Source organism: Homo sapiens, chromosome 16 (assembly GCF_000001405.40).
Source record: "Homo sapiens chromosome 16, GRCh38.p14 Primary Assembly".
NCBI classification, from domain to species: domain Eukaryota; kingdom Metazoa; phylum Chordata; class Mammalia; order Primates; family Hominidae; genus Homo; species Homo sapiens.
In genome coordinates this window covers 90,199,129-90,221,851 of record NC_000016.10, presented here as the reverse complement: position 1 = coordinate 90,221,851, position 22,723 = coordinate 90,199,129, and the positions used below count along the sequence as shown (strand labels likewise).

General features: G+C 42.9%; 2 long non-coding RNA genes across 2 annotated transcripts in view; one reads left to right on the top strand and one right to left on the bottom strand.

The window, feature by feature from the left end:
* LINC02193 (long intergenic non-protein coding RNA 2193) overlaps positions 1-22,723 on the bottom strand; it is a 35,498-nt gene that overhangs the window by 829 nt on the left and 11,946 nt on the right. Inside the window, exons 2-3 of the long non-coding RNA NR_186354.1 lie at positions 7,021-7,170; positions 5,654-6,559 (exon numbers count right to left, since the gene is read on the bottom strand). This is a non-coding gene — a long non-coding RNA (long intergenic non-protein coding RNA 2193). The remainder of the gene's footprint in view (positions 1-5,653; positions 6,560-7,020; positions 7,171-22,723) is intronic.
* Positions 11,506-22,525, top strand: LOC107987240 (uncharacterized). The gene is made up of 3 exons (XR_001752321.3): positions 11,506-11,736; positions 21,550-21,656; positions 21,868-22,525. It is a non-coding gene; the product is annotated as an uncharacterized LOC107987240 (long non-coding RNA).

The window sequence follows — 22,723 nt, the reverse complement described above, 5'->3', positions numbered from 1 at the left end:
TCCTTTGTCCCTCTCACCTCTCCAGATACCAAGTTTCAGACATGTTGCATTTTAGTTGAAAGGTTGATATAATTTTTTTTAAAGAACACTTGCGGTGTTTGAAGTGACAAAGGCTGCTGTGACAAAAAAGCAGGGAAAGGGATTTTTTTTAAAAAGCAAACAACAACAACAAAAACCCCACAGAAAAGCAAACAACAAACAAACAAAAAACAGAGGAAGAAGTTGAACACCCTGGGCTGTGACTACTTCCAGGAAGGGGCTACAAGAGGCAGTTGGAAATTCTATTTGCTTTGCAACTGTGGGTCTTCCAGCCTGCTTCCTTTCTAAAGTATATTACTCTGCTTTTGGTTCATGAAATTATCCATTTCTGTTTTCTGGAACAGCTATGTATTTTCTTTATCTATCATCTATCTATCTACCTGCCTATCATCTATCTATCTATTTACTATCTATCTTTTCTACCTTTCGCTATCAAGAGCTTGGGTCAAGCAGGATAGAATTCCAGTGTATCTTCACTCTACCATTTAAAACAAGAGCTCTTGTAGGCATTCTCCATCACATCATAAACCTGAGCTTTCTAAAACAGGGTGTGGCAAACTACCATGCATGGACCAGGTCTGACACAGTCTGCGTTTGTAAGTAAAGTTGTAATGGGACACAGCCAATACATGTGTTATATAACGTCTCTGGTTACTTTCATGGTATAATGGAAGACCTGAGTCATTAAGAGAGAGACCATATGGCTTGGAAAACTTAAAATATTTAACATTTAGCCCTTTGCAGAAAATATTTGCTGACTCTTGTTTTAAGAGATCTCTGTTTAGAATGCTACCTATTGCCTTCTGGATAGAATCACAACTCTTTACCACGATCAACACAGCTTCAGCCCTGCTTCTATATCCAGCCTCATCTATTTCTGCTCCTCCTCCTTATTTTCCTTCCGGACATGCTGATGAATTGTCAGCTTCCCAGATGTGTGAGAATCTCTCCTCCCTTCCCAGCATTCTCATGCTCTCCCTCTGCCTCTCAAGAACTTCCTGCCCCATCTCTCATGACAAATCCCTTCTTCATTCTTTAAGATGCAGCCCCTTTGCTCCTTCCTTAAAGATGTCTATCTGGCTCTATTTTGGGTGACATGCTCCTTCTGCATCTCCCAGAGCCACCCTGTGTGTGTCAGCTACAGCATTTCTTTGCATCTCTGTGTCATATATCACCAAATCTGCCTAACCTTGAGTGAGTCACTGCATGACAACTTCAGACTCCACCAGCATTGTCCCCACCAATCAATTATTTTCAACCATTTAAAAATGTAAAAATCATTCTTGCTTCATGGGCCATACAGAAACAGATGGTGGGCAGAGTTGGCCCAGGGGCAGACCACTGTTTGCTGACCACTGCCACACTGTCTTAATCAAGGCAGCTTTTATGGTGAGCCATGGTATCTAGTAATTTCTCCCATTTTTGTCCCTTTTAAGGGCCCTTACTTGGCCCTTTGCATGTCCATATAAATTTTATAATTAATTTGCAGATGTCCACAAAAAAGCCTATTAGAATTTTAATGGGACAGCTAATGCTAGAAGGGTAATTTTAGGAGAAACAAGAGATGCTTATAAGTTGTGTGTGTGTGAGAGAGAGAGAGAGAGAGACACAGAGAGAGAGAAAGAGACAGAGAGAGAGAGAGACAGACAGAGACAGAGAGAGACAGGGTTTCACTCTTGCCCAGGCTGGAATGCAACGGTGCAATCATGGCTCACTGTAGCCTCGACCTCCTAGGCTTAAGCAATCCTCCCACATCAGCCTTCCAAGGAGCCAAGACTACAAATGTATACCACCACACCTACCTAATTTTTTTGACTTTTAGTAGAGATGGGGTTTCACCATGTTGCCCAGGCTGGTCTCAAATTCCTGGGCTCAAGTGATCCACCCACCTTGGCCTCCCAAAGTACTGGGATTATGGGTATGAGCCACCATGCCTGGCCTTTTAAAAAAGTTTGAGACAGGGTCTCACTCTGTCACCCAGGGTGGAGTGCAGTGGTGTGATCATGGCTCACTGTAGCCTCAACCTCCTGGCTCAAGTGATCCTACCACCTCAGTCTTCCATGTAGCTGGGACTACAGCTGCGTGCCACCACATCTGGCTCATTTTTTTTTTCTTTTTTAAGTAGAGACAGGGACTTGCTATGTTGCCCAGGCTAGTCTCAAACTCCTAAGCACAAGCGATCCTCCCGCCTCGGCCCCTGAAAGTGCTGGGATTGCAGGCATGAGCCACCACACCCGGCCAAAAGTTGCTTTTGAGGAGTTATTGCTGTGTGGATGTGATATAACCCTTTCTGTCATCTCTTCACAAAACTTTCTGTAAAACATAAAAATCACCTGGACCTTCAGAGATGAGTTTGTTTATTTTTTTATTTTTTTAAAAATTGCTAATTCACAGAACATGGAGATGAGTATGTTTTGAAGGCTTGGAAGCATGCAAGTGGGAGAAGAAAGGAGTCAGCTACATTCTGGCTGTGTGCAGAGGCAGGTCACTGTGGTGGGAGTGTTCCTGTCTCATGGACTCTGCAAATCACAATGCTTGGCATGGCCTCCCGACCCTGATGGCAGAGAAGCAAACACCAGTCGGAGAGCTGGGGTCCTCCCAGCCCTCTTGGCCCTGTGGCCAATTTTTTCTCCAATAGCCTCATAAAATCACATTATTTGAGTGTCCATGGCTCCAAAACAAGCAGGGATGCCCATGGACCCTGATTATCCATTGTCACCCTTCCCTCCAAACAGCCACCTCTCCCCTGGAGACAGCCCCATACTCCACTCAGACCTGTGCACTTCCTGGTATCCTTGTCACCTGCTTTTTATGTCTCATTTTACAAACACCAAATTGGAAGACAGCAGGAGCTGCCCCATAATACCAGTAAAGTGAGAAGCAGAGATAAACTAGTCCTAGACAGCCGACTCATGTTGGGGGCAGCCCACTCACAGTGGCCCTGACCCAACTCTGACTAGAGGCCACTTGCTCTCAACACCAGGGTGCTCAATGGTCCATCCTGGTACTCTGCTCTTCTCTCTCCACCTTCGCTTTCCTGCAGTCTATGCAGCCTGTGACTCCATCCATGGGCTAGTGACCCCCAGACCTTTTCCTGGGACCACAGGCCTGTGTCTCTATCAGCTGCTCAATACCTCCCCTCGAACATCCATGGCTAACACTGAGCTCCTGATACTCTCTCCCTACCCGCTTCTCTGTGGATTCCCCACCTCCACGAAGGACAGCTTCATCCTTTCAGCTACTCAGGCCAGAAGATTGAAGTCATCTCCTTCTCCAGGAAATCGTATTGGGGGAGCTACAAATATCCAAAATCCGATCGCTTCTCCTCCACTACACCCGAGGCCCGCCACCCATTTTTGCCTGAATTGCTGCAGCAGCCTCCTAACCGATCTCTGCTTTCACGTGGGCACCTCAGTTTTTTCCAGAACAACAACCAGAGAGATCTGCTCACACCCAAGTCAGACCAGGTTACTCCCCTGCTCTCATAGCATTTGGAGGAAAACCCAGAGTGCTCGTGTTGGCCGGCAGAGCCAGCCCCCATCTCCTCTGACCTCCTCCCCACCTCTTGCCCTCAGCACCCAGAGTGCTCGTGACGGCCAGCAGAGCCAGCCCCCATCTCCTCTGACCTCCCACCTCTCGCCCTCAGCACCCAGAGTGCTCGTGTTGGCCAGCAAAGCCGGCCCCCATCTCCTCTGACCTTCCACCTCTCGCCCTCTGCACCCAGAGTGCTCGTGATGGCCAGCAGAGCCGGCCCCCATCTCCTCTGACCTCCCACCTCTCTCCCTCAGCTAGTCCTCGAACATGTCTGATGTGGTCCCACCTTGGGACCCACATTGCTACTCCTCTGCCTGTAGGGGTACCCACAGTTATCCACACAGTTCACTCCTGTCTTTCAGGTCTTTGTGCAAATATCACCTTCTCAGTGGAGACTACACCTTCAGGACTTAGGCTGTGCCTGGCACATAGTAGGTGCTCTGTAGACACTGGTTGTAGGAAGGAATCTACAGGTTGAAATAAGGAGATCATTTCCCTGAGGTTCCGAAGCTCATATTTACTCACCATTTGTTGTTTACTGCTAATATTGAGCACTATCAGTAAAATACATAAAACCCTTTGCCAATCCAGGAAATGAAAATGACACTTTACTGTTTTAGTTTGCATTTCTCTGCTTACAAATGGATTACACGCATTTTCATGTGCTGTTGGCTACTTATTCATTCAGAAAACATACTAAGTGCTGGCTCTTTTTCATGTCCTTTATCAAGTTTGGATCATGTCATTTGCTGTTTTCTTTCTGATGTAAACTCTCAAAGTTTGAAGGGTATTGTCTTTTCCTGACACATACATTGTAAATAATTTTCTGGCTTACATTTTGACTTTTAATTTCATTCACGATGTTTTTAATGAATAATTTTAATTTTTATGAATGCAAGTTAAAATAATTCTTTCATTGTGGTTTCTGACATGTCATGCCAATAAGGGTCTTCTCCTCCAAGAGCACAGAAATATTTGCCAATACTGTCCTTAAAATCGGTCACAGTTTCATTTTTTATATATGCATTTTACTTCAATTGGGGCTTCATTTTACTGAATGCCCTATTTGAAGCAAGTTTCTCAGTTAATTCTTTTCTCAAAGTGCTAATTATGGTAGATTGCAAACATAAGTGGCCACATAATACTCCCACCTCCTTGGCCTCCTCTCCCAGGAGGAGATAGCCTCCATCTTTCCACTCCTTAATCTGGGCTTGGCCATGTGACTTACACTGGCCAATGGGATATTAACAAGTCTGATGTGCACAGAGGCTGTAGAATGTGCACTGGGGCTTGGTCTCTCTTGCTGCCCTGGAGACCAGCTGCCCCACGAAGGAAACAGAGCCAACCTGCTGCTTCCTGGGGGGAGACAGTCCCTCAGTCCCTCTGTCTCTACCAACCAGTTAACCTGCTGCTTCCTGGAGGAAGACAGTCCCTCAGTCCCTCTGTCTCTGCCAACCAGTTAACCTGCTGCTTCCTGGAGGAAGACAGTCCCTCTGTCCCTCTGTCTCTGCCAACCAGTTAACCTGCTGCTTCCTGGAGGAAGACAGTCCCTCAGTCCCTCTGTCTCTGCCAACCAGTTAACCTGCTGCTTCCTGGAGGAAGACAGTCCCTCTGTCCCTCTGTCTCTGCCAACCAGTTAACCTGCTGCTTCCTGGAGGAAGACAATCCCTCAGTCCCTCTGTCTCTGCCAACCAGTTAACCTGCTGCTTCCTGGAGGAAGACAGTCCCTCTGTCCCTCTGTCTCTGCCAACCAGTTAACCTGCTGCTTCCTGGAGGAAGACAGTCACTCTGTCTCTGCCAACCCAGTTGACCGCAGACATGCAGGTCTGCTCAGGTAAGACCAGCACAGTCCCTGCCCTGTGAGCCAAACCAAATGGTCCAGCCACAGAATCGTGAGCAAATAAGTGATGCTTAAGTCACTAAGATTTGGGCAAAAGCTGAGCATTTATCCCAATCCCAATACTGTTTGTCCTTCTGTTTATCTGTCTGTCCTTCTCTGCTCATTTAAAATGCCCCCACTGCATCTAGTACATTTTTATAGGATCAGGGATCTGCTCTTGGATTTATGTCATGTTCCCACCTCGAGGCAGCTTTGTAAGCTTCTGAGCACTTCCCAATTCCGGGTGACTTCAGGCGCTGGGAGGCCTGTGCATCAGCTGCTGCTGTCTGTAGCTGAGTTCCTTCACCCCTCTGCTGTCCTCAGCTCCTTCGCCCCTGGGCCTCAGGAAATCAATGTCATGCTGACATCACTCTAGATCTAAAACTTGGGCTCTTGGACCAGGTGCGGTGGCTCACATCTGTAATCCCAGCAATTTGGGAGGCCGAGGCGGGTGGATCACAAGGTCAGGAGATCAAGACGATCCTGGCTAACACGGTGAAACCCCGTCTCTACTAAAAATACAAAAAAATTAGCCGGGTTTGGTGGCAGGTGCCTGTAGCCCCAGCTACTAGGGAGGCTGAAGCAGGAGAATGGCGTGAACCTGGGAGGTGGAGCTGGCAGTGAGCCAAGATCACGCCACTGCACTCCAGACTGGGAGAGAGAGCGAGACTTTCTCAAAAAAAAAAAAAAAATCTTAGGTTCTTGGATGTTCGGGAAAGGGGGTTATTATCTAGAATCCTTGAAGCGCCCCCAAGGGCATCTTCTCAAAGTTGGATGTGTGCATTTTCCTGAGAGGAAAGCTTTCCCACATTATTCAGCTTCTGAAAGGGTTACTTGACCCACAGATGTGAAGCTGAGGCTGAAGGAGACTGATGTGGTTTCTCCTCAGTTTCTCTGTGCGGCACCAGGTGGCAGCAGAGGTCAGCAAGGCAAACCCGAGCCCGGGGATGCGGAGTGGGGGCAGCTACGTCCTCTCTTGAGCTACAGCAGATTCACTCTGTTCTGTTTCATTGTTGTTGTTTAGTTTGCGTTTTTTTTCTCCAACTTTGTGCTTCATCAGGAAAAGCTTTGGATCACAATTCCCAGTGCTGAAGAAAAGGCCAAACTCTGGAAAAAATTTGAATATTTTGAGCCAAATGTGAGGACCACAACCTGTGAGAACAGAAAATAAATCCTGGGACCCCAGACTCACTAAGCCAAAGGGAAAAGCCAAGCTGGGAACTGGCTTATGCAAACCTGCTTCCCATCTGGTTCCTAAATAAGATAGCTATTACACAAAGACAAAAAAGCTACATCCCTGCCTCTACCTCCATCGCATGCAAAATGTGTATTCAGTGAACGCTGACCAAAGACAGAAGAATGCAACCATTTGCCTCTGATTTACCCACACCCATTTTTTCCACTTCTTCCCCTTTCCCCAATACCCGCACTTTTCCCCTTTACTTACTGAGGTCCCCAGACAACCTTTGCGAAAAGCACGGACCACAGTTTTTCCTGTGGTTCTCTGTTCTTTTCTCAGGTGTGTCCTTAACCTTGCAAATAGATTTCTTGAAATGATTGAGACTCACCTTGGTTGTGTTCTTTGATTAGTGCCTGTGACGCAGCTTCAGGAGGTCCTGAGAACGTGTGCACAGTTTAGTCGGCAGAAACTTAGGGAAATGTAAGACCACCATCAGCACATAGGAGTTCTGCATTGGTTTGGTCTGCATTGGTTTGGTCTGGAAGGAGGAAAATTCAAAGTAATGGGGCTTACAGGTCATAGATAGATTCAAAGATTTTCTGATTGTCAATTGGTTGAAAGAATTATTATCTACAGACCTGCTATCAATAGAAAGGAGAGTCTGGGTTAAGATAAGAGACTGTGGAGACCGTGCATAGTTGCTTCCTGATCAGCTCTTTATTTGATTGAGAGTGAGGCAGGGAAGATTAGAGGGAAGCTTACAGTGGAATTCAGGGCTGAGGCTGCTATTCTTTTGCTCCTTGTAACTTCCTACAGTGTTGTCAGCATCCACATACTTCTCTGTGGGGTTGGTCTCAGAGCCAGGTTACCTTGTCTTAGGTCCAGTGGCACCCTGACTGGCTTGGTGTCCTCGAACAAGTTACCTAACCTCTCCATACCTCAGTCCCTCAGCTGTAAAATTAAAAAAAAAAAAAAAGAAGAAGAGTACCTACTGTATAGCATTGATTTGAAGATTGAATGAGCTGGTATTATACAACGTTTAGAAGCAGTGCCTGACACGCAAAAGGCTCTCAACAAATACTATCCTTTGCTAATATCCTGTGTGTCTGTATCAGAGCTGGTGGGGTGGAGGGACAGAAACAAGTGGGAGAAGGTAAAGAGATGGGCAAATGATCTCTAAAGTCTCTCTGGCACTAACACAATTCTTTATTATGTGTTTTGTCTGGCTCTTTATATTGATAGCTGTTCCAGAGGCAATCAATAGCTATTAGTCGGTTTTATTCTTATTTTTCTGTCTGATCTTACAGGGGAGCAAACTGTGGCAAAGTATGAACTTACTTCTCAGGAAATTAACCATTATATTGGCAATCACTGTGATTATTTGAACTTCAGCGTCTGGACAAATTTAGTCACATGAAATACAGAAGAGAGATTTCTCATGGTTAAAACGAAGCTCTCTTTATTTGCTTCTGCTAATTAAAAAATCAGAGCTAAAGATACTTAAACACTACAGTTAAAATGCCATGGTTGTCTATTGGCTTAACGAATTCTCTTATGAAATCAACTCTAAAATGTTATCCATCATAAATCATGAAACGCAATTTTTCTTATTCTCTTTAGAGCTTTACAATTCATCTTAAAGACCAGTGTTTACACTCTCTTCTGTAGGTTGTACAATAACTTTTGGCGAGAAAAAATAAAAGTCTGGCTTTCTGACTCATAGGTGTGTTCCCTTTAACAGAAAAAGAAAATATGTCCTCTTTAAAACTGATGATCATTGGTCACCTCAATTTTATTGAAGTTCACTTCTGACCTCTTTAGATGTAGTTCTCTACATAAAACTGCCCAACAGAATTCTCTGTCTGAATGTCTCCTCCACAAACAAAATTTTAAGAACTAACATTATCATCTTTCCTTCCAAATATGCTCTCCCTATGTCCCCAGGGCTCTCCATGTGTAGAGCTGAGACCATTTGCCACTCAGTTTCCTCACCCAATTAATTACAAGTCCCAACAATTTTCCGGTTTTTTTGTTTTTGTTTTTTTTTTTAGACGGAGTCTTTCTCTGTCACCAGGCTGGTGTGCGGTGGTGCAATCTCAGCTCACTGCAACCTCCGCTGCCTGTGTTCAAGCGATTCTCCTGCCTCAGCTTCCCAAGTAGCTGGGATTATAGGTGTGTGCCACTACATCCAGATAATTTTTGTATTTTTAGTAGAGAGGGGATTTCACCATATTGGCCCAGATGATCTCAATCTCTTGACCTCATGATCTGCCCACCTTGGCCTCCCAAAGTGCTGGGATTACAGGCGTGAGCCGCCATCCCTGGCCCAGTTTTGCCTTTTTAACATCCCTCAGCTCTTCAAATCCATTTTCTCTTCTCTAACACCTCCCCATTCCCCAGCTCGTAATGAACTCGTAAGTAGATTACTACAATCACCTCCCAAATGGTCTTCCTGGCTCCATCAGCCTTGTGACCTTCAAGTTCATTTTCCACATGGATGTCAGAGTAACTTTCTAAAATGAAAATCTGACCACGTTACTCTCTTGCCTAAATCCGCCTATGGCCGCTGTTAGGATCAAGTCTAAACTCCCGACCCTGGAACATCAGGTCTTCGTGCTCTGTTCACTGCTTCTCTACCTCACCTGCAACCAACACCACTCCCACATCCATATGCTGCTCACCGTGTATCAACATGAACAGGAGGTGGGTGTTTCAGTCCCCAGGAAGACACTGGGCCTTTTCAATCATCTACTGCTGTGTAATAACCACCCCGCAAACTGACCACACGATTTCATTTTGCAAGGGTTCCTTCCTTGGGCTGTGTTCAGCAAAAGGGTTTACTGAGCTGGCAGGTCCAAGATGGCCTCACTCACAGGACTGGCTGTTGATGGGAGCCTTGATGCTCTTGGGCTCACCCCTTATCCTCCAGTAGGTTAGAGCTTCTTACAGTGGTTTCAGGCAGCATCTGAAGACAGTAAAAGCAGAAGCTCCAAGGCTTCTTACATTCTAGCCTGGAAAATCACATCACATTGCTTCCTTCATATTTTTTTGGCAAATCAGGTTGCAAGGCTTGCCCAGATTAGGGTAAAGAGGCAAAGAGGCTCCTTTTCTTTTCTTTTCTTTTCTTTTTTTTTTTTTTTTGAGTCAGAATCTCTCTCTGTTGCCCAGGCTGGAGTGCAGTGGTGCGATCTAGGCTCACTGCAAGCTCTGCCTCCTGGGTTCACGTCATTCTCCTGCCTCAGGCTCCCAAGTAGCTGAGACTACAGGCACCTACCACCACGCCCAGATAATTTTTTTTTTTTTGTATGTTTTAGTAGAGACTGTGTTTCACTGTGTTAGCCAGGATGGTCTCCATCTCCTGACCTCGTGATCCTTGCAAAGGGACATGCAGACCACATTAGTGAGAATATGTGCCTGTATTTTGCAATCTGTAACATGGGCATAAACTAAATGTTTTCCAAAGGGAATAGGGCAAAACAAAAAGGACCTTGACCACTCCTTGGCCCTGAATAAATCCAGGAAGCCTAAGAGTATGACTATCCTGAGGTAGAAAGAGGGTCACATGCTGGATAAGAGGTACCTGGGCTCTCCACTTACAAGAAGAGAGCATGGTTACATTTATAATCACCATTCCCAACATGCTGTGAGTGCAGGCAGCTACCAGGAGGAGAACAAAGGAAATAACCAGGACACTCATCTCTAAACCTGTTAATTTAATCACACGGAACACTTCTATTTAAAATTCCCGAGAGTTAAGATGTAAGAATGCTTATCAAGGTAAATGCTGTTCACACTGCTTGGAGTGTCAGGCCTAGATCTCTATCCATCAGAAACAACAATATCAATAACAACAACAGCAACATGATGATGGGGCAATTTCTTAAAAGCACCGTGTATTTTATCGATACATGTCCGTTGCAGAAAATCCAGGTGAATCCAAAGAAGAAATAAATGTCTTCCACAATCCCATAGCCCAGAGCTAACTAACCACTATAAAGAACCCAGCGTGGTTTTAACTAATGGATCAAAAGATGCTCATCAAAGGCTCTGAGCTTTCCTGAGTGCTAACAGGAAACATCCAGCATCACTGGTCTCTCCAAGGCTGCAGGTGTCTTTGCCCATAGTGCCTGTTTTGTGTCAGGGAAAGAATCAACCTGGGAGCCAAGCCCAGGAATCAGGATGACCAAGACATACTGCACAAGGAGGGAACAAACCCATCCAAGGACACTCAAGGACAAATCAAGCAAATGAATTTAAGGGAGACATGCTCATGGTCTGCTTTGCTGCTCAGCATGGCTGGGAGGCACAGTGGAAGATCATGCATCCTGCCCCTGGGACTCCTCTGCCAGAGCCTGAGAGCTTTCTCCTGCCCACAGGCTAGGGGTAGGGCAGTTGGAATTGATCCATGCCTTCTAGCTAGACTGTGGGTCCCCTCAGTCTTGGGCATGGTGACAGCCCAGCATCAGACAGACGTCAGTATCAAACTAGAAAATTTAATAAATACTGTCAGATTTGTAGACCCAAGAAAATATAAACTGCCAATCACGGAGGAAAAAAAATCTCTCAATGATCTTATCTTTATATGATTCCCTTGCTGCCTGGAGATTGACATTTCCTTGGGGATAATCTGGTCATAGGATTGGTGAAGGTGGAAGGGAGGCAACCTCCAAAGGTGGGGCCCTCTGCTCACCTGGGACAGGGAGGGCCTGAGGTAGGTGTCTGTGTGGGCTGGGGAGGAGGATGGGAGCAGTGCTTCTAGATGTTTCCACTTTCTCCTCATTAGATAATAACGAATGGGTGATTTCCCTAGTCACTGCAGTGTGAGGAAATCTACAAAATTAATTTCACAATACGCTTTACAGGATAGGTGGAGAAACACATGAAGCACAACTGCAGTGGGTTATAAAAAACGGCCTTTCGAGTTGAGCAATAAATTCGTTCAAGCAGCCATTCTGAAGGACAAACTGGCTCTGTATTTAAGAGGGGCATTCCAGCACTTCTCTAGCCACTGGGTTGACAATGACTCACCAAAGCCTCTGGTAGCCACCACAGGACACCCAGAGCATATGTTTTAAAGCTGAACACCAAACTGCGGACTTCGGGAGTAAGTGAACTGACTGGTTTTTATTTTGTTTTACTGCTTTTAACATTACAGTAACTGTTACAGGTTCCAGCAGGCTAACTGGGTGGAAATGAGTTTGGTTTCACTTAGTCTCTCTAAAGAGAAAGCAAGTCGGTAGACTAATACCTAATAAAAGCAAAGCTGCCAACAATTGAAATTGCCTAGGCTGCTCTGTGTGTCCCACATGCATGGGTGTGGGTGCCAGTGTGTGTGCGTGTGTGCATGCATGTGCATGTGTGTTGGGATAGAGTGGTAAGAAAATGGGAAATAATAAGAATGTTCAGTCCATAGCCCTTCATTATAAAAAGGTGAGCTGTAATAAATACTAGTGCCACATTTAGCCAAAACTTTACTCCAGCCAAAGGTGATATTTTCATGATAACATCCTGTGATTGCTTTGTTCTTCGTCTTTTATGTTCTTCCTAGATGGGCTCAGAACATACAAGAATTAAGTACACATCTTATTTTCCAGTGATAATGCTACCGGCAAATTCTGTTGTTTGTATAAACATCAGCCATGTTTATATAACTAAACTAGTGTTTTGTTTTGTCAATTCAGCAAGAAATTAGACCAAATGGTGGCTTAATGCTGCATTGATTTGGCTATCAATTTGTTTTCACTTTTCTGCAAAATAATTAATACATTATTAAATTGAATTGTGCTGATGCCACAGTTGTTCTTATCTCAAGTGTCTTAAAATTCATTTAATTTGTTTTCCCTTTGGTTTCATTATTCAAATTTTAACTTCAGTTCTCAAGATTTTATCTGATGGAAGAGATGGAGTCCATTACTAAGGACTCCATTGTGCTCCATCATGCCAGAGTTGTAAAATAGATCTTTTAAAGGAAATTTACTGTGATTTTTTTTCTATTTAAGAGCTTCCTCTCCAGTTGAGCATGTAAGAAAATTATACCAGGAGAATACAGTAAACTCTATGAGGCAAGCTATAAACATGTAGCATTGTGATTAGGGCTGGTTCTCCTTCTAGAGACATGGTAGGATTGCAATTTCATACCATCCTTGAAGTTAGAGAGAGCCACGTGACTCATTTAGCCAATGAACTGTGAGCAGAATGACATGTCACTTCCAGCTGAAGCTTTAACAATCTGAGAGACATTCATACATTTTCCATGTGCTGTAGCCTTATACCCAAAGCCTGGGTCCCAAGTGACCATGACAGGCAGAGCTCCCTGGTGAGCCACAGAGATTTAGAGAATGGCTGTTAACACAGCATAATCCAGCCCATCCTGACTAATCTGATATTAACATGTATAATAAAGAATTCTATCAATGCTGAGGGAAGATGACTAGTTAAGGTCCTAGGTTGCAAGTCTCAAAACCTCTTCTAAGGATTGTAGACAGGAAATTAAATGACTTCTAGTCCCTAGAGTTCCCAATCTCCTACCATCTCATCCTAATATGACAGAAGTAATTCCTGAGTTGCTTCTGAAACCAGAGCTTCCCTCAGAACCCTTAGCCTGCCAGATGGCTTCTTGGAGAGCCCTCACTCACTTTTCTCCTTCTGCTATTGCTGCTCATTCATTCCAGCTTTTAAAAATTCATCTTTATCCAGGAACCTCGCTTCTAGAAAAGTCATACAGGTGCTTCCAGGAGGCTACATGGGCACCCATATTTTTCTAGCCACTTTCATTAGACCAATGCAGCAGAGAAGAAAAGCCTCAATAATTATTATGACATGGCATGTTAGGATACCAAGTAAATTGCATTTGTAAAATGTGATTTTCTGTTGGTGTTCACTTCTGCTCTACTGACATTTGGTAAGTATTATTGACTGACTGACTAACTAATGTGGTCATTAGTCTTCATAAAGAAAGGCTCTCTACAAAAACAGAAGGATGCCCTTTTTCTGGCATTTAATACGTAAGAAATTGCCTCCAATAGAAACCAGAGTTGCCTGATTACTATCAGCACAGGAGAAATGTATTAATGTGCCTTTCTAGTAACAGGTTTTTAGAAAGTCAAATATAAACAAATCTGTCTATTTGTGTGTATGCATGTGGTGGTGGAGAGGGAAGAAAAAAGGAGGGGGAGAGAAAGAGAAATAAGAACCAACTTTATTATACTGTATTCAGGGGGAAGAAATTTTCCCAAGGTTCTAACAGAAGAACAAAGTGCCACTGTCAATAGCCTCAGTAGTGTTAGAGTTGCTTTTATTTATTTATTTATTTATTTATTTTTCTTTTTTTTATTTCTCTTTTTTTCTTCTTTTTTTTTTCTTTTCTTTCTTTTTTTTTTTTTTTTTTTTTTTTTGGACAGAGTCTCACACTGTCACCTGGGCTGGAGTGCATTGGTGCAATCTCGACTCACTGCAACTTCTGCCTCCCAGGTTTAAGTGATTCTCCTGCCTCAGCCACCCAAGTAGCTGGGATTACAGGTGTCTGCCACCGTGCCTAGCTAATTTTTTTGTATTTTTAGTAGAGATGAGGTTTCACTATGTTGGCCAGGCTGGTCTCAAACTTCTGACCTCATGATCCACCCACGTTGGCCTCCCAAAGTGCTGGGATTACAGGCGTGAGCCACCGCCCCTGGCCAGGATTGCTTTTACAGCCAGTCTTCAGGTGCCCACTGTAGGAACAATGTCATTTAACCCTCGGGATTATTCTGTGCCAAATATGGATAATGACTAATATCCAACACAGATATTCTCAGCTCAGAAGAGCAATTAGCAAATTCATAAATTAAGTGCTTGCTTCCTCTTTAGTCAAATACAAACGTTTGTTAAAAGATATTATTTTGCTTTACACTTTTTCTCTCAGAAATAAACAGATGCTTGAATTCCCACAGTGCTGCTTGAGCCTCACACCATGTCATCCTGCCAGGCACCCAGATCCAGTTCTAGAGTTTCACATGATCATGAGTGTTGGTTAATAAGTCAATGTGAACTGGGAGGGGAGATTTTTCAGGAGTGCCACAGGGCTCTCCCTTTAATCACATACACTCCCTGCTTTCATTGGAAAGTGTATAATGATGTCAGAGTGCCCCAGAATGGAGCTAGTTGGAAGACTGCCGTCATAGGGATGCCTTAGTGAATTAATAAGGTTTTAATTTCTGACTCTCAACTTTGTAGATGTAAAAGTTGATTTATCAATATGTGAGAAAGGATGAATCTTTCTGAAGGTTATGTCATCACACTCACTAAGCACACAGAGAATAATGTCTAGAATCTGAGTGCCATGTTATCAAATTGTACTGAGACTCTTGCAGTCACACAGGCTGACATGTAAGCATCGCCATGCCTAGTACAGACTCTCCCTGCAGATGAAATTATATGGGATGCTAAATTATAATGAGAACAATGTTTGGTGAGCCAAAACTACAACAAGGGAAGCTAATTGGATGAATTTATAAAAATATGCCTCAGCCAAAATAGCTTAATTCACTCTCCCTTATCATAAGGATAATCTTGCCTAAAGGGACAGTAATATTAAAGACACTAGGAATAACCTCTGTACTTTGGACAGTAGACCTGCATAGCCCATTAGGCCTCAATGAAGTCTTATGCAAGACCAGAAGCCAATTTGCCATTTAAGGTGATTCTCCATGTTTCTGCTCTAACTGTGCTTCACAATACTCAAAACACTAAATCAGGATGTTTCCTGGAGTTCAGGGAGCTGTCCGTGTTACTGAGCAGTTCTCAGCAACACAAAGATCCTACTGACTCCTCATCAGACTTCTTTCTCACTGGAATTTTACACCTGGGCTGTTAACACCAGGCCAGGTCAAATTCAAAGGAGAGAAAAAAGCTCATTATGAAGGGTAAAATCCAAAACACTGTGCATAAAGATATGTGTGCACAATTTTTATACATAAAGATTTCATAAAACCAAAGCATCAGGAAATGAAAAGAGATACAGAAAGAAAAATGATGGTAAATGAGACATTAATTTACCCTTCTAATCTCTATCACAGCAAAAAGATAATTAAAAAATCTATATGAGGACCACAAAATACACAAAAATTATGTAGCAAAGCCTATAGCCTGAAAAAGTAAACACTGAAATTTGTATGTCCATAAAATGTTTACAAAATTCAGTACATATTACACACCCCACCCTAAAAACATCTAAGCAAAGTAGAGAATGTAGAAATGCTACAGATTATATTCTCTGATTATGACACAACAAAACTAGAAATTACAGCATGGAAATTTAAAAGCTTTCTCTTAAATAATTCTATGTCAAAAAGAAATTCAGGCCGGGTACAGTGGCTCATGCCTGTAATTCCAGTACTTTGGGAGGCCAAGGTGGGCAGGTCACTTGAGGTCAGCAGTTCAAGACCAGCCTCGTCAACATGGCGACACCCTGTCTCTACTAAAAATACAAAAATTAGCTGGGCCTGGTGGCTCATGCCTGTAATCCCAGCTACTTAGGAGGCTGAGGCAGGAGAATTCCTTGAACCCAGAAGGTGGAGGTTGCAGTGAGCTGAGATTGCACCACTGCACTCCAGCCTAGGTGACACAGCAAGACTCTGTCAAAAAAAAAAAAAAAAGAAATCCAAATAAAATTTCCAGAATATGTGGAAAATAGTGACAATAAAAATATTACACATGTGTAATCCCAGCATTTTGGGAAGCCAAGGTGGCAGGATCACTTGAGACCAGTAGTTCGCAACCAGCCTGGACAACATAGGGAGACTCCATCTCCACACACGCCAAAAAAAATTTTAAATAGCCAGGTATAGTGGTACTTCTTGTAATCCCATCTACTTGGGAGGCTAAGGTGGGAGAATCACCCAACCTCAGGAGTTCAGGGCTTCAGCAAGCCATGATCATATCACTGCACTCCAGCCTCAGCAACAGAGCAAGATCCTATCTCAAAAAAAAAAAAAAAAAAAAATCACATGTGGGAAATAGCTATAGCACAATAAAAATAAATGTATTAGTATGAACAACAAAAAAGCTAGTAAAGGTTGAACAACAACTATCCTTAGGAAAGTGGAAATAATATATTAATAAATATGAAAGCAGGCTAGGCATGGTGACTCACATCTGTAATCCCAGCACTTTGGGAGGCTGAGGCAGGCAGATCACCTGAGGTCAGGAGTTCCAGACCAGCCTGGCCAACATGGTGAAATCTTGTCTCTCCTACAAATACAAAAACTAGCCAGGCTTGGTTGTGCACTCCTGTAATTCGAGCTACTTGGGAGGCTGAGGCAGGAGAATCTCTTGAACCTGAGAGGCAGAGGTTGCAGTGAGCCAAGATCATGCCACTGCACTCCAGCTGGGGCAACAGAGTGACACTCCATCTCAAAATAAATAAATAAGAAAGCAGAAACTAATAAATTAGAAAACAGAAACATAGAACTAATTTATAAATCAAAGCACTATGCCTTGAAAAGAGGGAGAAAAATTGTGAATTAAGGAAGGGAAGAGATGGTTGGAGAGGAGGTGGGAGAAGGCAGAGATAATTGAAGGAGCAAAAGCATCTGGAGAAGCAAAGCCACTGAAAGATGAACAGGGCTCTGAAAGAGATGCTTGATTGCTATCTTTTCAAATGACTGCAGTTCCCAGTGACATCATTTTTCTCCTCCCTGGAAGTCTGAGGGGCAGTTCACTTATCTCCTCCCCTCCCCTACTCCTCACCCCACACTCAAAACCTGTCTATGCTCCTTTCATTCTCATATGACAGATTTCAGATGGCATTCTTATTTCCCTGATTTCTTTTTGAGATAGCTTGCATTTCCCTCCTCTATATAAAGCCACCGTTTATCAAATGCCTACATGGACCAAGCAGTCCACAAAGGCTTCACAGACAGTTTTACTAAACTCATGCCAAAACTTTCAGGTTTTATACCTACCTTATAGATAAAGAAATTGAAGCTTATAGAGTTTAAGTAATGTTCCCAAAGCCTCGTGGCTAGTAATTCAAACCTAATTTCTGCCTACTCCAAAGTCTATTTTTCCTTATGATACTATACTGCCTCTCCATGGATAAAGACAGAGATCACATATTAATAAAATTTGCACAAAGTCGGCAAATTGTTGAAAGGGAAGGCTAAGATGATTAATAAAATCAAGAGCCAGATGATCTCAACAACCTGAAATAACTGGCTGACAACCAATTTGAATAACTCCCTGCGGGTGAAGTTCAAAGTACTATTTGGGTTTTTTTTTTAAAGTTTGGCTGGGTGCAGCGGCTCACGCCTGTAATCCAAGCACTTAGGGAAGCCAAGGTGGGCAGATCATGAAGTCAGGAGTTGAAGACCAGCCCGGTCAACATGGTGAAACCCCATCTCTACTAAAAATAAAAAATTAGCCAGGCCTGCTGGTGGATGCCTGTAGTCCCAGCTACTCGGGAGGCTAAGGCAGGAGAATCGCTTGAACCCAGGAGGTGGAGGTTGCAGGGAGCCGAGATCGCACCACTGCACTCCAGCCTGGGCGACAGAGCGAGATTCCGTCTCAAAAAGTAAAATAAAATAAAATAAAAAATAAAAGTTTGATATATTCAGAATCAGGGAGGTCTGCTGGGTGCAGTTCATTTGAAAAATTCCTCAGCATTTTAGTGATCTGTATGGTCCCTCTATCTGTCAGGGTCCTAGCAGGAAATTGTTGCACTCTCAAAGGATTAAGCAGAAAGAGTTTAATGAAGGATCTCTTTCCAGGGTTAAGGGAACTGCTAGGGTTTGGATATTTGACCACTCCAAACTCATGTTGAAATGTGATCCCCATTGTTGGAGGTGGGACCTAATGGGAGGTGTTTTGGTCCTGAGTGTGGACCTCTCACGAATGTCTTGGTGCCATCCAAGTGAGTTCTTGCTCGCTCTTTTTTTTCTTTTTGAGATGTAGTTTCACTCTTGCTGCCCAGATTGGAATGTAGTGGTGCGATCTTGGCTCACTGCAACATCCACCTCACAGGTTCAACCCATTCTCCTGTGTCAGCCTCCAGAGTAGCTAGGATTACAGGTGCCCACCACTATGCCCAGCTAATTTTTGGTATTTTTAGTAGAGACGGGGTTTCACCATGTTGGCCAGGCTGGTCTCAAACTCCTGACCTCAGGTGATCCACCTGCCTCGGCCTCCCAAAGTGCTGGGATTACAGGCGTGAGCCACCGTGCCTACCTAGTTCTAGCTCTCTTAATTCCCACAAGAGCTGGTTGTTAACAAGAGCCTGGCACAAACCCCTCTCTCTCGCCACGTGATCTCTGCACATGCCAGCTTCCCTTCCCCTTCTGCCATGAGTGGAAACAGCCTAACGCCCTCACCAGAAGCAAATGGTGGCACCATGCTTCTTGCACACCTTCAGAACTGTGAGCCAAATAAACCTCTCTTTAAAATTATTCAGCCTCTGGTATTCCTTTATAACAACACACACACACACACACACACACACACACACGCAAAAGCAGACTAAAACAGGAACTAATTAGAAATGGTGATGCACCGAGGGATTGGCACCGAGGCTCCCCAACAGGAACTGAGGTCATGGATAGAAGGACACATTCATGTTATTTTTTTCTAATGGTTAATTAATTATTTGCTCTTACTCTCAAAATTTCTGCCAAGGCCTCCCATGGACCAAACTCAACTAGAATCTAGGAAGCAGAGAACCTGAGTGTTGCATTCAGCAGAAGTCAGCTTCCTAGGGAATCTTGCAGGAAGGGTGAAGGTAGAGAATCTGGTGGGGAAGCAAGCAAATGCCCATCACATGCACTTTCCTCCAACAGAGCGACTCAGATGCTATAAAACTTGCTAACACAGTCTCAGGGTCTGATCACAGTAACATACAATCCAGGTTTTAATCATCAGAAATCACAGTCCTATTGTCTTCTGCACAGACCCAAACACACTTGGAGGTCATGTTCAATATGAATACCTCACAGAGAAGGAAATTTACACGCGAGAAGTACATCTGCAGAAAGCCAGCTGGCATGTCAACCATTCAAAAACTCAGGGTGTTCTGGATAAAGAAGACTCAGGAAGACAAGTATGAAGCATAATCTGTGACATTCCATGCGGCAGACATTAGACACATACAAGAGAGTTGTTGGAAAGCGGAATTTATCTTCATATAAACAACACTGAGCTAAATCTCAATATTTCAGATCTCTAGAACTATCCATCAGTGAAATAGATTGCAAATAGAAAGAGTAATACCATGTCACTTAAGAATACAATCATGGACGAGGCTGCCACCTGCTGTTGGGGGCCACTGCAGAAGAAATTCCAGAACACTGGACTGGAGAGCACCTCACTTTCCTTACAGCTCTAAGTTTCTGACTCAGTGACCTGATTCACTACCATATACACAAAGACCCACTTACACAAATGACTGTTCTTCACACTAGGCCCATGGAGACAGGGATAAAATTCTGAATTTGCTCAGATACCTTCTCCGCTACTGACATCTAGGCATTACACAATTCATCTCTTCATATTTAACCTTTGAAGTTTGCTACTTCTCAGAGAGACTAATGAGTAGTGAGCAAATATCCTGAAGCTGAGAATGCTTCTACCTCCTCTCAAAACAACGGAATATTCATCAAAACACAACAGTTCTGCACTTAACTTTAGGCCTTTTCTAACACCTTGTTTCTTGGCAGTAACTGTGGCCAGAATAGCTCTTTCCACAGATAAAGGACCTTTTGAAAGGATAGGGTCTCTAGATAGAAAAGCAAATGCCTCATTCCAGAAGGTCTTCAAGAAGAAAATGTTGTGGTGATAACAAACATAACTGATTATAATCTATTCTGTGAAAAAAGCTTATGAAACAGTAGATGTGTGTATCTAGTACATAAGAGCTGAATGTCAATATATATATAGATATATACACACACTCAAATAAATAATAGTTATCTCTAACTAGAGAAATTCTAGTTGCCTTATATTTTCTTCTTTTTCCTTACTATATTTTCTACAATAAACATGTGTTTTTAACAAGAAAAGTATTTTCTGGTGTGCTTTTTAATTTTCTTTGTTTAAGTGAGAGTGAGGCTACATAACTACATGGCTAGGTAGACTTTTAGAAAACTTGGCTGCTCTAGAAAATTGACATATCCTGATTTCTTCCATAGCTTGGATCTTGACCTAGAGGGAAATATAAAAGTGTTGACTTGAACCTGAGGGGTGCCATTTTCACTGCTGAAGTAGTTTCATGGATCATGAATTGGAGAAATGACTTCAGCAACATGGGTGTTAAAAACAGAAAGCACAAGTGACCCACAACAGATGATGGAGAACAAAGAGCAAGCTGGGAAAGCAGTGGCCTTTAATACAGAAAAGAAGAAGTATAGCCACAATAAATATTAGGCAGACAGCAGTTCAGCAGTTTATACTATTAAGCTGTTGTTTAGGGGAATAGTAAACTGACATGACCCTTGAGGTAGGTATATATAGGTAAATTCTATGTGTCCCTTGAAATAGGTGTATGACACAACTTCTGGCATCTACATGGATTTGGTCACTCTAAAGTAGCCATGAGGCTTAAGATAGTTCAGCTGTTTGGGGATAAGTTAAATCATTTGCCCTTGTCTTTCTGCAATTTGCATATCCTACAGTTATCATTGCCATTACTGAATGGCACAGAGAAAAATTCTGGTCTAAAGTGGTTCTCAAACCTGGTTGCTGGAGGGCCACCCTCAGTGATGATGATTTAATCTGTAGAAGAGTAGAACATTGATAGTTTTTATATATCTCCAGGTAATTTTAATATATAACTGGGGTGAGAATCATTGACATAATTGTAAGAGGATAATATTCAGGAAATATGGAGATAAATAATTTTCTTCTCGACATTAAAAAAATCTAATAAAAAGTTTTATCTTTTCCCCTAACTCAGGGTCATCAGCCTTCAAGCTTCAGTCTCTGTGTGTTCACAGGTGCTGTAAACACACGCATCACTACTAATATCCCACTTCAGTGCTATTGCTGCTCCCAAAACTCCAGGTATTTTTAAACTTATAAACCTCCAGAATAATGAGACCACTGGGTTCAGTAAATTGCTTTGTTTTGAAGCAGTATTAGACAAAGTGGGAGACTAGAAGATAAATCTGTCAATGACATGTCCTTTAAGACTACTTAGATTTTGTTGAATTTGTGGATCATTCCTTACTTGAGCAAATGGTAAATTAACTCTCTCTTTTCTCTCTCTCTCTAGCTGGCACACTTTTTCCAGTAGCCATTCTACTTGGTATGCTTACTTATCAGCTGTCCTCCAGGGGCCTCACATTAGATGTTTCTCTGACTAACCAAACATGACACACAGCTGAAGTCAGAAAAACCAGATTGATAATTTCACTCAAACTATTTTCCTTCATTCTAACAATTTACTGGAGTACACAATTGTGACTATTTTTAGCCATAGGAACTCATAGAAAGACCAACTTCATTAGACCTACAAAATCGAATTGTGTAACAGTATATGCAGTATGTGTAGGAATAAAAAGCATTTCTCAAATATGCAGTACTGGATTTTGCAAAAGCACCTTACACTTAGCTATAAAGGAGTGGAAAACACAAAGATGAGTAACTGCACCTTTCAAAAGACTAGAGCTATACCAATAATACAAAGGTGTAAACAAATAATGATGAGATGACAAAGGCTGAGTGTTTTCTATTTGGAAGCTATGTTGTTGAGTTATTTATGTATATAATTTCATGCAATCTTCATGTTATGGGGATGTTCTAATCCACTGTGACTCTGTCCTTAAATAAAAGGGAGATTTGGACATAGAGAGAGGCACACGGGGAGGATGCCATATGAGAATTGACACTGTGCTGTCACAAGCCAAGGAACTACTGGAAGGAGAGAAAGAGGACTGGAAGAGTTCCTTCCTTAGCACCTTTTCAGGCAGCCTAGCCCTGCCAGCTTCTTGATCTGGACTTCTCACCTCTAGAATTGTGAGGCAATAAATCTCTGTTGCTTAAGTTACCCAGTTTGTGGTACCTTATTACAGGAGCCCTAGGAAAATAATTCATTATATAATCTGCTAAGGTAGATATGATCATTGTCT